The 16155-nt window shown below is 45.0% G+C and overlaps 1 protein-coding gene across 9 annotated transcripts in view; it reads left to right on the top strand.

Moving 5' to 3' along the window:
- The window catches only part of EDC3 (enhancer of mRNA decapping 3), a 65467-nt gene that overhangs the window by 40959 nt on the left and 8353 nt on the right, over positions 1-16155 (top strand). For all 9 annotated transcript variants that reach the window (NM_001351379.2, NM_025083.5, XM_024450077.2 and 6 more), the window contains one exon: positions 14447-14600. In NM_001351379.2, the coding sequence (NP_001338308.1) occupies positions 14447-14600 (154 nt within the window). The remainder of the gene's footprint in view (positions 1-14446; positions 14601-16155) is intronic.

Genomic DNA, 16155 nt, shown 5'->3' with positions numbered 1-16155 from the left:
TCACATCCGTGTCCCATCCCTTCCCCTCAAACCACATTACTAACTGGGCCTCTTGGAATATGGTTTGAAAACCATTGTTATTGAATGATCCTAAGAGCTAAAGGGGAAGTCATAATCATTTTAGTAAGTAGAGAAGGAATTGAGTATAATATTTTTATTTTGGTTTGAAGTTTGGAATATAAGGAATATAAATCTTGAATGCTGGTAGCTGCTATAAGGAGAACTGTGGACGCAGCTAATTGCATTTGGAGGAAAGCCAGACATGGCTTTTTTTTTATAGATAATAGTAGGACTCTGTTGTATTTGGTTTCGCTGAGTATAGTAGCTTGCATGTGCTTTCCATGTGAAAAAAAAAAATAGGCCAACTGTCAGGCTAAGAAAGACTGCTAAAAAAAAAACAAGCTGCTGAACTGTGTCAGTCTTTTGCTGGCAGATTCTGGTAGGCATGCCTGTTTATTAAGGTGGTTTCCTTAAGTGGCAGTGACAGTGACACTGTAACTTGCCGAAGTCCTTCGATTTTTAACACCTGTGTAAAGGCAAACAGCCTAGCTCAGAATCGGGTTTAATTTAAATTGCTAGGTTTTAAGCCTTTCAAAGGCAGTTATCATCTGTTAAGTCTGGTACTCCTCCAGATCAGCCAACTATCTACCTCTGACTGCTTCCTTTTTTACTGCCCTCTTTGTAAAAGAAGCTGCTCCTGCTGCTAGCTCTCTATATCTGTAGTCCAAGTGCTGCTGCTGAGGCTGTTGGTTTATGCAGCGTGTGATTTCCCTGGAACTATTTACACTGCAGGATTTTTTTTTTTTTTTTTTGAGACGAAGTCTCACTCTGTTGCCCAAGCTGGAGTGCAATGGCGCAATCTCTGCTCACTGCCAACCTCCACCTCCTGGGTTCAAGCGATTCTCCTGCCTCAGCCTCCTGAGTAGCTGGGACTACAGGTACACACCACCATGCCTGGCTAATTTTTTTGTATTTTTAGTAGAGATGGGGTTTCACTATGTTGGCCAGGCTGGTCTTGAACTCCTGACCTCGTGATCCACCTGCTTTGGCCTCCCAAAGCGCTGGGATTACAGGTGTGAGCCACCGCGCCCAGCCCTACACTGCAGGATTTTTTTAACTTGGGAAGATTATGATCTGCCCTGGAGTCAAGTGGCTAAGAGTGAGAATAACAGTGAGAATCAGGGAGAATTCTCAGAACTAACAGAGCATGAGAAAATATTTACTAACATGGACAAAAGCAGAGGTAGAAATTTTTTTCTGCTACACACTCTGGCTCCCCAACTTGATCTTCACACTTCTTTTGTTTTTAATGACTGAAGTGAAAAGTTCTGTCATATAAAATTATTTTCCTATCAATAAACATACCACAAACCACATGTGCTGGTCCTTAGCCAGAAACTTGGGTGTGGCGTCTTGTGGTATGTAGTGACCAGTTGCACTCCACTGGTTCATGACAATGAGGGGGAAAGAAGCCCAGCAGCTTCATGCCATCTGGTTTTTCTCTTTGTTCTTAACAGTGACAAGGAGTGGAAAGGAAGCCCTTTTGCCAAGCAGCGTCTGTGCTGGAAATAGAGCAAGCAGGCAGTTATCTTACTGAGCAACTTCTTCTACAGGGGGGTTTTCTCTGTGTTCGAGTTCCAAGGCACAATCCTCAAGCAGGTTTTCACTGAGGGGCAGTCAGTGCAGAGCTGGGGACACTTTCTCCATTGGATCTGCTATCCAAATGTTTGGATCAAAAAAGGCAAACTAGAATATATAGGGAAACAGTCTAAAAGCATAAAATGTTAGTGTTAGGTTAGTTGATCACCTAGTATGATTTTTTCATTTTACAGATGAGGACATGAGGCCCAGAGAGGTAAAGGTTTTTTTTTTTTTTTTGGAGACAGAGTCTTGTTTTGTCATCCAGGCTGCAGTGCAGTGGCGTGATCTCAGCTCTCAGCGCACCGCAACCTCTACCTCCCAGGTTCAAGCGATTCTCCTGCCTCAGCCTCCTGAGTAGCTGGGATTACAGGCACCTGCCACCATGCCTGGCTAATTTTTGTATGTTTAGTAGAGACGAGGTTTCACCGTGTTGGCCAGGCTGGTCTCAAACTCCTGGCCTCAAGTGATCTGCCTGCCTTGGCCTCCCAAAGTGCTGGGATTACAGGCGTCAGCCACCACGCCCAGCTGGTAAAGGGTTTTCCATTGGCCAGGTGCAGTGACTCATGCCTGTAATCCCAGCACTTCGGGAGGCCAAGGTGGGAGGATTGCTTGAACTCAGGAGTTCAAGACCAGCCTGGGCAACAAAGTGAGACCCTGTCTCTACAAACAATAGAAAACATTAGCTGGGCACGGTGGCATGTGCCTGTAGTCCCAGCTACTCAGGAGGCTGAAGTAGGAGCGTCTGAGCCCATGAGGTTGCGGCTGCAATGAGCCAAAGTCATGCCACTGTACTCCAGCCTGGGTGACAGAGTCAGACCCTGTCTCAAAAAAAAAACACAAAAACCTTACCCATCACATCTCCTTTTCTCTTCTAAATGTGAATAAAAATGAGGAAAAGGCCAGGCGCAGTGGCTCATGCCTGTAATCCCAGCACTTTGGGGGGCTGAGGCGTGTGGATCACGAGGTCAGGAGATGGAGACCATCCTGGCTAACACGGTGAAACCCCGTCTCTACTAAAAATACAAAAAAATGAGCCGGGCATGGTGGTGGGCGCCTGTAGTCCCAGCTACTTGGGAGGCTGAGGCGGGAGAATGGCGTGAACCTGGGAGGCGGAGCTTGCAGTGAGCGGAGATCGCAGCACTGCACTCCAGCCTGGGTGACAGAGCGAGACTCTGTCTCAAAAAAAAAAAAAAGGAAAAATATAAGAAGAGAAGGGCAGTTTAATGGCAAATAGACTACAGATGATCCTCCAACTTACAATGGTTAGACTTATCATTTTTTGATTCTAGGATGATGTGAAAGCAATAGTCAGTAGAAACTGTAGTTGAAATTATTAATTTAGATCTTTTCCTGAGCTAGCGATATGCAGGTATGATATTCTCTAATGCTGGGCAGCAGCAGGAGTCAAAGCAGTCAGCCGTGCAGTCATGAGAGTAAACAACCAGTATTCTACAGTGTACTGTTTTGCCAGATGATTTTGCCCAACTGTAGGCTAGTGTAAGTGTTCTGAGCAGGTTTAAGGTAGGCTAGGCTGAACTATGATGTTTGTTTGGTAGGTTAGGTGTATTAAATGCATTTTCAACTTAGATATTTTCAATTTATGATGGGTTTATTGGGATAACACTCATTGTAAGTTGAGGGACATCTCTGTAGTCTTTTCTTTAGTACTGCAGTCTCTCAGGAATGGACCAGCAGTTTACAGAAGTAACTTGGAGAGCTCCCGCAGTCTGGCCTTGTGGCATTCATGTCCTAGAATACCAAGTACTTTTGTACTAATCCCCATGGTAGCAAAAGAACAACATATTTATTACCCATTTGGTGATGGCTTGGGATTTAGGATTCTGACAGCTTGCTGCTGGTGCCCTATATATTGACTTCATGCTAAGTGGTGTCAACCAACAGTACATAAGCTATTATTCACTAATTGCTCATACTCCTCTTGGCAGTACTCTTTGCCAGCTGTGTGTGTTGTGATGGGGAACAGTGTTGTTTTAGGTCTATTGATTGGGAAAACACATTCAGGAAGCAACTAAATTTAGCTCTTTGTTTAACCCCAATTTTTTCTCTCTGGAAATTCCTTTCAGGTTCTTTGGCAGGGCTTCTGTCTCCCGCAGTCACGGATCATCAGACATTTCTCTAGCTTGGGCCTGCCCTGCTAAATAATGGTGTCCAGTGATCACACTCTGGATTGGCCAGGGTCTTTCTGGATCCAGACTTGTAATTTGAAATTCTTTGAAGACTGATTCTACGTGCATGTGTTAAGTTTAAATATAAAACACTAGATGTGTGTGAGCACTCTGTGTTCAGTGGTGAGAACTCCCCAAAGAATACTGCTTAGTAAAGTGGTAAGGCTTCAGAGAAGAATCTTTATTCAACACTCATAAGATTCTTTTTTTAATTTTTTTTTAAATTTTATTATTATTTTTTGAGACAGAGTCTTACTCTGGCACCCAGGCTGGAGTGCAGTAGTGCAGTATCAGCTCACTGCAACCTCCACCTACTGAGTTCAAGTGATTCTCCTGCCTTAGCCTCCCATGTAGCTGGGATTACAGGCACACACCACCACACCTGGCAAATTTTTGTATTTTTAGTAGAGATGGGGTTTCACCATATTGGCCAGGCTGGTCTCGAATTCCTGATCTCAGGTGATCTGCCCACCTTGTCCTTCCAAAGTGCTGGGATTACAGGCATGAGCCACCGCGCCTGGCCTAACACTCATGGTATTCTAAAGGAAATACTTTAAGACAGTTTGGGTCAGTCAAAACACTGTGTTTATTATGTTTATTATGTGTAACTGACTCTAAGATAGTCCTTGCCTTTAAGTTATGAAAATGTAATAGGAGATGGAAAGATTCCATATATGCCCAGAGTCCAGTGAAAGTGTGGACATTAAGTGCACTAGGTGTTGAGAGGCAGGAGAGGTCCTGTAGGCTGCATCAAGGAAGGCTTCATGATGGAAGCCTTGAAACATGGGCAGGATTTCACCAGGCAGAGAGAAAGAGGAAGATATTCATGGGTAGGCTAGGCAGGTGCAGGTGAATAGTATGAGTAAAGGGCTGTGTGGGAGACTGGTCATTAGCTGGCTTGGCCAGGGCAGAGAGTTTGTGCTGGGGAGTAGAAGGAACTAAAATATAGCTTTGGACCAGAGCATAGAGGGCCTTGTGTGCCAGTGCTATCCTTGTCCTGTAGTCATAGGGAACAACTGAAGGCTTTTGGATAGGAAAATGACATGATCCAAATCTCTTTTAGGAAGACTGGTCTTGTGGTAGGATTCCAGGTGGAACGAGAGGGGAGAGAAGAGACCAGAGCAGGACCAGTCATGCTCATGATGTAGTTTACATACTAGGGATTTAGACCATTGAATGGAAAGGAACACAAAGATATGAGGGAAGCAACAGAGGGCAATTTGATAGGCTATGATGATTGAAAACAGGGTTGAGTGAACAGGAGGATTTGGAGGTATTGAACCTGTGAGGCAGGAAGAATGGCAGCAAGTCAAGTTATCATGAGATTGCACGAATTTATAGTGGGCCAAGCCTACATGGTTTTGTGACCCCCCCCCCCTTTTTTTCCCTCCTGCAATGCTTTGTGCCTGAGCCCAGAGAAAGCAAAGGCAAGAGTTGCTACAATGAGGGATAGGGAGATGTGGGAGTTATTGGTTATTAAGAGCTTTAATGAGGAGTTAAAAGTTATATAGCCAAAGAGAGGCTACTAAGCTGGTTTCCTTATCTATAAAGTGGGCTAATACTGTGGATTAAATGAGATTATGTGGAAAAGTAGCTAGCACAATACCCAATCTGTAATTATTATTCAGTAAATATTTGACTTCAAATGTGAATTTGCAAAGGCCACCTCAGTAAGATTATTTCAAAGCATCAGCATTTATAGAATACCTACTATGTGCCAGACACTGTTTTAAATACTCTGGGTAAGTCATAGTTCATCACCTTAGGGGCCTCTGAGTATAACTGAACCAAATATGTAAATATACTAATAACAGAAGTGTAGTTGGCTGCAGTGGCTCACACCTGTAATCCCACCACTTTGGGAGGCTGAGGCAGGAGGCTGGCTCGCTTGAGCCTGGCCTAAGCAACATAATGAGACCCCATCTCTACAAAAAAATAAAAATAAAAAATTAGCCAGGGTGCTAACACGGTGAAACCCCGTCTCTACTAAAAATAACAAAAAAAAAATTAGCCGGGCGTGGTGGCAGGTGCCTGTAGTCCCAGCTACTTGGGAGGCTGAGGCAGGAGAATGGCGTGAACCTGGGAGGCGGAGCTTGCAGTGAGCTGAGATTGTGCCACTGCACTCCAGCCTGGGCGACAGAGTGAGACTCTGTCTCAAAAAAAAAAAAAAAAAAAAAATTAGCCAGGGTGTGATGGTATGTGCCTGTGGTCCCAGCTACTCGGGAGGCACAGGTTGGGGGATTGCTTGAGGCCAGGAATTCAAGACCAGCCTGGGCAACATAGCAAGATCCTATCTCAACGTTTAAAAAAAATGACTAGAATTCTTCCTTCCCTCTGTTGTAATAAATTCTCTATTCATGAGCCTTTCCTTCTGGGTAGACTTCTTTAACCTCCACCATTTGTTTTCTACTGTGCAGCCCTCTTCTGTCCTCAAGTATGTAAAAGCCCAGATGGGAGGCAGTAGGGTGCTCTTGGTGCAGGCATCTCTGCAGCTTTGCCTGAAGGATGATCCACTTCCACACTGTGCGCTGAGATTTAGGGAACAGGAAGTGTGTGAGGATGACCCGAACTAGAGTTCCTATTTATTTCCTTAAAAAGGATCCAGTTAAGCTTGAGTGAGGTGCTCTGGTCTGAGCTCCAGCACCTTTTACCAATACTCATTTCTTTTGGAAAAGGCAGTTCTGGTTTCTGCTAGGAAGGGAGGCAGCTGGTGAAGCCACAAATGATTTGTTCCTGTGGCTTTGTGACTCTACTCTTCTCACGCTGGCCGGCTAAGTCTTTGAGCCTTGGTGGGGATGTATCTAGCTCTTAGGACAAGTTTGGCTTTCAGAAAATTCCAGGCTAGCAGTTGTCTCTTTCACAGCTGGCATTCCATTCCTGCCTCTGAGCCGTAGCTGCCTTCCTCTGCTTCTTGTCACCAAGAGTCCCTCTAGAAGTAATCTAAGGCTTTCAAGACCAGCAGTGTTTTTATCTCCTCAAAAATAGGTAGTCAAGAAATCTGTTTTGATTTTTTTGCATGTGTGTTCAAAAGGAATTCAGGAAGAAATAAATCTTGGAGTTTAGAAGTGCCACTGAAGAATTTTACCTGGAGGTAGTGAGGTCTCCTTTGGCAGCTGTTGTACTCTTGCAGATAATTCTTCCCATTGAGAGAATCAAGTGTCTACCACCATGGAGCTGGTCAGCATCTCATTGCCTTCTCACCCATAGACCCAACCCATGCAGGGTCCTGCCTTGTCTCCCCATAACCCCCTCCCCAACTTCATTCCCCAACGGTATGTGTATGGATTAGATCAGGTGCCACAAGGATGTTATTCTGGGAGACATCAGGAAATAAATTCTGGGTGGTGTTCTGGACAGAACACCTGCACTGGATAAACCTGTGCTCCTCTGCGAAGTGTCACAACTTTTCACTGAACACAGCTAATGAGCCTAGTTTCTAAATTTGTGTCTCCAGCAGGCAGACTTCCCTGCCAGTGACTTGGTTGAGTTGGGGAACCTCAGGCTCTAGCAGATCCTTCAGTGCCAGGTGTGGAAGAATGTATCAGTCCCTTTCTTTACCTTGGAATCCTTCAGAGTTCCTGGGCCTGGATAATCGGGTGGATGGTTGTCATAGGCCTGAAGGGCTTGGTTATGATCATTGGTGATCTCATGAGGTTTTAGAGCAGTACTGTTAAGATAGGTGTCTTGGCTGGACTCCTACCCCAGTAATGAACCATTGTGCTTCTTACATGTTTTCCAAGAGTTTAAGCTCAAACCAAGGGCTAGAGGATCTGGAGCCTAGTGCATTAAAGCCTGACACCTGAGTTTTTATGAAACTGCCCATTGGTCATTCCAGAAATGCACTGGTCCCTGCTAATGTGACTGCTTTGCTAATATGTGCCCTCTTGCCATTCCAGAGCCACAAGTGCCTAGACAGAGTGAGAAAGGAGTTTGATTTCTATGTATATACCATTCTCTTGAAATTTAGCAATCAGGCTGAGGCAGATGGATCACTTGAGGTCAGGAGTTTGAGACCAGCCTGACCAACATGTTGAAACCCTGTCTCTACTAAAAATATAAAAATTAGCTATCCGTGGTGGCACATGCCTGTAGTTCCAGCTACTTAGGAGGCTGAGGCAGGAGAATCACTTGAACCCAGGAGGTGGAGTTTGCAGTAAGCCGAGATCGCACCACTGCACTCCAGCCTGGGCGACAGAACGAGACTCCTTTCTTAAAAAAAAAAAAAAAAAAAGGTCTGGAAAGGACTAGGGAGGTCATTTTTTCTAATTTAATATGCAGACACTGTGTTCTGTAGCAGCCTTGGCAACAGATTTTTCTTTATCCTCAGTAGTATTCATTCTGGCCCCAGAGTCTCTCCTTCCTTCAAAATTTCATTTGAAATTTTCATGACCTTTTAGTTCCTTATGCTATCCTATAGCTTCCCTATGTCCCTTGAAATCAATTCTCCTTGGTCTTTCTGTTCTTACTTTCTACCCCTGTCAACTTTATCCTGCATAAAACAGCTCAGCTTTTAAAACCTTCTGACCTTGGCCCTGCCCACTGCTCTACACTGAGCCTTCATACCACCCTCTGGGCTTCAGGCAGGGACATATTCATCTGCACATGTCACATGCATTCTGGCCTCTGAGAAGTTCATGGTTCTCCACTCCTACCTGGAGTCCCTCTTCTATTCATTGTGACTACAGTCCTGCCTGTCTTTCAAGGCATAGTTCAAATTGAGACCTGACATCTCCTACCTGTAGCTCCTGATTTGAAATTGATACTTTGCACTCGTGCTCAGGATAACACAGTTTAAGGCTGTTGTGTTATTTTCTGAAGTTTGCACCTATGTATTTTTTTGTTTCTAGTTAGATTATAAGACTGGGGGGCCGGACACAGTGGCTCACGCCCGTAATCCCAACACTTTGGGAGGTCGAGGCGGGTGGATCACCTGGGGTCAGGAGTTCAAGCCCAGCCTGGCCAATATGGTGAAATCCTGTCTCTACTAATAATACAAAAATTAGCTGGGCGTGGTGGTGCACGTCTGTAATTCCAGCTACTGGGGAGGCTGAGGCAGGAGAATCACTTGAACCCGGGAGGCGGAGGTTGCAGTGAGCCGAGATCATACCATTGCACTCCAGCCTGGATAACAAGAGTGAAACTCTGAACTCTGTCTCAAAAAAAAAAAAAAAAAACAAAACAACAACAACAACAAAAAGACTGGGAACGGTCTCTGTATTTCTACTCGTTTTATTTTCTCTGTTTCCCCGGCTGTTCCCCACTTCACCACTGACTTGCTTGATGTACTGTTACTCTATAAACATTTTTAAATCATATTTGGAAGCACTTAACTTTGTTTCCCTTTTTCCTTCCCAACTCTTTTTTGAGACAGGTCTCTCTCTATCGCCCAGGCTAGATAGAGTGCAGTGGCACAATCTCAGCTCACTGCAGCCTCTGCCTCCTGGGCTCCCCTGACCTCAGCCTCCCTAGTAGCTGGTACCACAGATATGCGCTGCCACCCACAGCTAATTTTTTTTTTTTTTTTGTATTTTTAGTAGAGATAGGGTTTCACCATGTTGCCCAGGATGATCTCGAACTCCTGAGCTCAAGTAATCTGCCCACCCTTGGCTTCCCAAAGTGCTGGGATTACTCTTTGGCCGGGCATGAGCCACCTGCCTGGCACCCCCCCCCCCCCAACTTTTTTTATTGAAAAAAATTTCAAACTTACAGAAAAATTGCTAGAATAGTATAATGAACAACCATATACCCTTCATTTAGATTCACCAGTTAACATTGTGACATATTTGTTTTATGTAAAATACATACGAGCACACACACATATTTCTGAACCATTTGAGATTTAGTTGTACTCATCATTAGATTTCATCCCTAAATACTTCCACAGCACATAAATTCAGTGTGATATATATTGCTCTACACAACCACACTACAAGATTGCTCTCAGCAAAATTTAAATTATTACAAAAATACTATCTAATATACTCCGTATGCAAAACTTCCCAATTATCCCAGTAATATCCTTTATAGCTGTATTTTTAATCATCCATTGCACATTACATTCAGCTGTCATATCTCTTCTGTTTCCTTTAAACTAGAACAGTTCCTACAACTTTTGTTGTCCTTTGTGATACTGATATTAGTGAAGAATCTAGGCCAATTGATTTGCAGAATGTCTTAGTTTTGATGTATTGTTTGTTTCCTTTTGATCTGATTCATGTTAAACATGTTTTCTAGGATTTTGGTAGGGCTGTGTCTTTCTCAAGGCGTCACATCAGGGAGTACGTCACATCAGGGAGTACGTCACATCAGGGAGTACATTGTATCCCCTTGTCCCATCACTGGGGCTGTTTGACCACTTGGTAAGGTGTTGACCACCAGATTTCTTCCTCGTAAAGATAATTTTTCCCTTCATAATTAGTAGGTTTTTGTTGAGCAGTTCTTTGCCTCTTAAAGTTCAAAGCTTGTTCCAGTGGAGCTTTAGTATGAAGGAATGAGGTCCACTGTGGACATGGGGCTGGTCTAGTTGTAAGTGGGGAAGGGAAGAGGTGGGGAGTCAGATTTATTTATATATATATATATATATATGTACACTTTAAGTTCTGAGATACATGTGCAGAATGTGCAGGTTTGTTACATAGGTATACACACGTGCCATGGTGGTTTGCTGCACCCAACAACCCGTCATCTACATTAGGTATTTCTCCTAATGCTATCCCTCCCCCACACCCTGACAGGCCCCGGTGTGTGATGTTCCCCTCCCTGTGTCCATGTGTTCTCATTGTTCAACTACCACTTAAGAGTGGAGTCAGATGTATTGAATGCAATGAAGGGAAGTAAGCAGCGTGCTGACACCTGACAGATGAGGAGCCCGCTGTGTAGGGGTAGCATTGGAAGAGAGAATAGAGCCCCAGAAGAGAGAATAAAGTGTTGGGATGGAGAAAGCATGTGAAGCGAACTGTCTCTTGAGGCCAGAAGGAACTTGGAGAATTTAGGAACCAGAAGGTGGCCAAGGGGTCTGGGGTACATGTTGGGTACCAGGTAAAGGTAGTGAGGTAGACAGGCCAGATCACAGCAGGTCTTGTGGGTCATAATAAAGAGTATCGTGAATGTGTAGTTAGGTTTCTTATAACAAATCCTTCCTTCAGAGAACACTTGACACTAAATTGCATTACTACCAGTTTGTGGTAGCTTTAGTGTAGATCTCCAGGGACTCTGTACATTGCTGGTCAGGGGGTATAAATTTACCAGTGGATTTATATCCCTAAAGGAACCAGTGTGACATCAGCACTCAGTTTTGTTGACTGCCACAGAAGAGAATCAGAAGTCATAGTCCTGGAGAAATCCCATGCCTGTAAATGAGCTGTGCTCCTTATTGATAAGACTTGGGACACATGCAGCCTTTCCAATTAAAGGGCCAATCAGTGAGAGGATTGAGTTAGATCTGAGATAACACTTTGTTGTGGGATCTTTGTTACACAACAGAAAGACTGGGCAGGTCTGAAGGAGAGAGGAACCTTGGACATGGTACTACTGAAGGGTGTCTGTGTCAGGGGGAGTGGGGACGCATATATGTGTCCATAAGGGAGGGAAAGGCCTGAAATGCTGTGTGCTGGAATGAGCAGTGCCAAAGTGATGACCTGACAAGGGGCAGACTGCAGCCGGCACGGGCACTGCTGGACCACTGCGTCCCATGGTCCGAAGAGACAGCCTCAGCCTCATGCAGTGGAAATCAGGTGTGCAAGGAGGAGTTTTCTTTCCTGGCCTGTACTGAGTGTACTTGTTGTCTTCCTTGATACCCTAAGGTCAATCAGATCCTAAGAAGTTCTCTGCTTGTCACGATCTGGTTATAATTATCTCTCCCTTTCTTGTTTCACCAGCAGCTGTAAAATACATATTAATGCTCAAAGAAACCCTACCAACTGATTTTACTGCCTTGATTCCCGAACAATAAAGATCTACCTTCCAACTCAAACATAATTAGACTTGGCCCATGTTCAGGCTTTGGCAGTGGCAGTGTTGTTGTTTGCAATTTACACGCTATGTTCTTGGTTCCTTTCCTTTGGAATTTATTTTATTCCCTTGGTCTGTTTCTGATAAGCCAGTCCAACTTGTTGGACTTACGTGTATAAATGTTTAAAAGGAACATTTTGTGGTGTTTGTACGTTCCTTTCAGAGGAACAGTCAGAGTAGAGTTCTAGACCCCATAACTGCCAGACTCTGAGCAGAAAGGCTCTTGGCTTTGTCTTTCTCTAGGCTGCAAAAATATGCTGATTCACCAACAGTGCCCCTTCCCCCAACAAAGATCAGTGAGGAGGTGGTAAGAGACTCACAGCTTCCAGCAGCAGCATCTAGCCAGCCGGTGGGGGGTGATGTCTCCTCTCCTGTACCATTAAGTTTTGTACTCTTAAGGACTGTGAGGGCACAGCTAGCAGAAAATGCTTCTGCCTGCTCCCAGAGAGCCCTCAGAATGAGGGGGCAGGGGAGGGGCTGCCTGCCTGTACACGTAGCACAAGAGCCAGACCTAGAAAGAATGCTTGATTTGTGGAGTAGCAGGCCCAAGACTCACTGCCCTGACCCATTTCAAATCTAACAGAAAGAGTCCTGATAAATAGGTGAAGAAATGCATAGACGAGTGAAAGCTCTGCCTTGCGTGACTCTGCAGGTAAAGAGGGTGTTTGAAGTAGTCAGGTGCATGACTTGTCTGACAGGTTTGAGTTGTTCGTGGCTTAGGACTTTTGAAAATTGTTCAGCCTAATTAGTTCTGATAATATGTGCGTGTCTGAAGCAGGCCATAAAAATGGCTGTTTTAATCAGCTGTTGACATGCAAGGTCAGTCTGCAGCCTCCAGCACTGGCACCTGAGATACCAATGACTGACATTTCAGAAAGAGGTGGGAGGAGAGACTCAGTGCTCCTAATGGCACTGTTTGTTGCCTCTCCCCAGCCCAGGAATAGGACTTGGGCAGGTAGAGGGGCTCAGTTAGCCAACAGGATAGTGTTAGTGTTTATTTGATACGTTAGACCTTTTTTATCATCATCATTACATGACATTGTTATTCTGCCTTCCCTGAGAGGATACAGACCTGGGTCCTATAGTTTCAGTCTTTGTGCTTGGTTTCCTGTTGTTAAAACATGAAGCTATAGCCTCATTCTCTGTGGCTTTAGGAATATGCAGGTAGGACTGGACCTGATAGATAACCTCAAGAGATTTCTCCCGACAGGACCAGTGAAGAAAACAGATTTTTCTAGACAAGGCTCTGGAACAATGGAAGGAGATAAATGTACTGAAAACTTTTATTAACTTTTATTCCCTAACTCTTCTACCTTAGAGTTAGGCCAGACCAGAAATGGCACTAGGTTTGCATCATTTATATGTCTGAGGACCTGATAAGAACTCAACTCCGTTGATAAGTGTAGCTGGAACAAGTTGAGAAGGCGAAGGCTGAAGAAGTAAAAGATTAATTTCCTTACCTCAGGCAGTTGACAGTCCAGTATAATTGAGGACACAGGATCTAAAAAGGTACCTGATCTAGCTGGACAAAGTGAGTGACGTGCAGTCCCACAGTGGCTTGCTGATTGGAATCTGCGTTGGTTGGTCCACTGGCCGGTGAAGCCAAGTGGGGCTCTTTGGGAAAGGGTCTGCTGGTTAGCCCAGTGGCTTTGGCATTTGTAAGATGGCATTGGCTTCTTGGAGGGAGCAATACCTTGGTTGTCAAGGTAAGAGCTGTCCATTGCAGATCCAAATTTTTGGGTTTGCTGTTTCTTTCCTGGTATGTTGACACTGGTGCATATAATAATACTATAGACTTCTTCACATACACCAGCTGCTGTAGATGTTGGCTTTGAGCCTTGAAAAACCAAGTATTTTCCACAGTGTACTTTCAGTGACTAATTCTCCCCAACTTTTATAAAAGTTACCCTTTTTTAAAGCCAGCCATAGCTTACTTAACTTGTACTGCTTCCCTGTTTCGTGAGTACTGGGTTACACCCAACTCAGATGGGGAGAAAATGATAAATTATTTGAGAAAACAACTTTGCTAGCTAAGTTTCTTAATCAAAAAGGAAGGGGTAAATAGAAGAGAGAAGGAAGAGGAAGAGGGAAGCAGATGGAACAAGTCCTCCTGCCCTACAGTTGAGGAGAACAGCAGGGACCAGAGGGCCATTAGGGTTAGCTAGTGTCTGTTCCACTTCTCAGGAAGGACAAGGGGCCTGCTTGTGAGGAAGCCCCGCTGCCCAAGATGGCATTTCCCCCACTTTGGGAAAATCATGTTCTCTTCTCATGTGCCTGATAGGTTGCTGTTACAGGCTGTGTGCTGGTCTCGATAGCACTAAATATATCCTGGTAGATTTGGCCTTTGTGGTCTAAAGCTAAATTGCTAAGGGAGCTTAAGTTTGTCCCCACTCTGTGGTGACCTGGAACAAGTTGTTACTTGGTTCACCAGTCACTACTTGAGCTCTGCAGAGCTGCAGAGCGTGCCTTAGTCCCGGAAGATGAAGAGGATGGGCCAGGGGTGATCCATGGTAAAATGTTGGCATTTGCAGAATCTTGGATAGAGTATACCCGGTTTGGACTTGGTTTCTGTAGTCACTTTCCCTTTCTCTTCTCCTTTTGAACTGCAGACTCTGGCCTGGTTGTCCCAAGTATTTCCTATGAGCTGCATAAAAAGCTGTTGTCCGTGGCTGAGAAGCATGGGCTGACCCTTGAGCGGAGACTGGAGATGACAGGTGTGTGTGCCAGTCAGATGGCACTGACCCTCCTCGGAGGACCTAACAGGTAAATGTCTATAAACTGGCAGGGACTCAATGTGGAGTAAGGATGCTCTGCCTGGCCACCACCACAGTGCCTCCCATACACACATACGAGTTCATTAGGCAGTTTCTGCTCATCTGATGGGAGTGTCTCTCTGAAGTCACTTTCCTGGATGCTGTGAGGTTTCTTTGCCCCTCCTCAGACCCATCTCCTAGATGTCCTCATTATTCTTCTGGCAAGCTGCCTTTTGACTCTCTCCTGATAGCAGCCATCGGGCCTGAGACTCCTGCTAACTATCAGAAGCCTTCCTTCTAGGAACCTTCGGAGACCTGGCCTTTGGCACTCATCATTTACTTTACGTGGCTGGGATGCAAATCAGTCTCCATACCTGAGAGCTTCCAGAACCACACTGACAACTGAGTAGGGGAGCTGGAGTTTGGCACCTTCCCACCTGCCCCTTATGCTCATATATCAAGGGCAGTGCCTTATTTTATTTGTAGACAGACTGATACCAGGTGCCAGACCTTCTGCTAGACACCGGGGACACGAAGAATAAAATACTGTGCCTTTCCTCTAGTAGCCCAATGAGGTCTCTAGAAAGTATAGTGCTGTAGTAGAGGAAACAAAATTCTCCAGTAAGCCATATTATTGCCCCAGGCTGGAGAAACCAGTCACCCTTCTGGAGCAGTGGCATCCAAGCTGAGCCCTGACGAACAAGTGGTGATTAACAGGGGCAAGCAAGAAAGAAGAAGGCATTCTTTTTTTTTTTTTTTTTGAGACAGGTTCTCACTCTGTCACCCAGGCTGGAGCACAGTGGCACAATCTCAGCTCACTGCAACTTCCACCTCCTGAGCTTGAGCAATTCTCCCACCTCAGCCTCATGAAGTAGCTGAGACTGCAGGCATGTGCCACCATGCACAGCTAATTTTTTGTGTTTCTGGTAGAGACAGGGTTTCGCCATGTTGTCCAGGCTGGTCCCAAACTCTTGGCCTCAGGTAATCTGCGTGCCTCTGCCTCCCAAAGTGCTGGGATTACAGGTGTGAGCCATTGCACCTGGCCAAGAAGAAGGTATTCTAAGTACAGGGAGTAGCATGTGCCAAGGGCAGAGAGAATCGAGAGACCATGGCACATGGTTGTTGGCAATCCGTAAGTCACTATGTGGCTGGAAAGTAGGGCCTCAGTACAGCTGAGTGGTAGGGAGCTGCTGAAGACATTTCAGTAGAGCTATGACATAGTTAGTCTTGTGTTTTAAAAAGATGATTTTTAGCTACAATGAGGACAGTCAATTCAATGGAGGCAAGACTGAAGGCAGTGAGATCAGGTAGAAAACTGCAAAACTTAGAAAACTGAGCCAGGGCCCAAGTGATGGTGGCCCAACTAGGGAAGCAGGGATCAGAAAAGTGGACAAACCAGGTTTGGTGAGGCATGCCTATAATCCCAGTTACTCCAGAGGCTGCAGTGGGAGGACTGCTTGAGCCCAGGAGTTCGAGGCCAGCCTGGGCAACGTAGTGAGACTTTGTCTGTCTCTTTTTTTTTTTTTTGTCTCTTAGAAAGAGAAGTGGACAGATGGGTGTTGTTG

This window comes from Homo sapiens, chromosome 15, assembly GCF_000001405.40.
Source record: "Homo sapiens chromosome 15, GRCh38.p14 Primary Assembly".
In the NCBI taxonomy this organism is placed as follows: Eukaryota; Metazoa; Chordata; class Mammalia; order Primates; family Hominidae; genus Homo; species Homo sapiens.
This window is presented reverse-complemented; position numbering and strand designations above follow the sequence as displayed.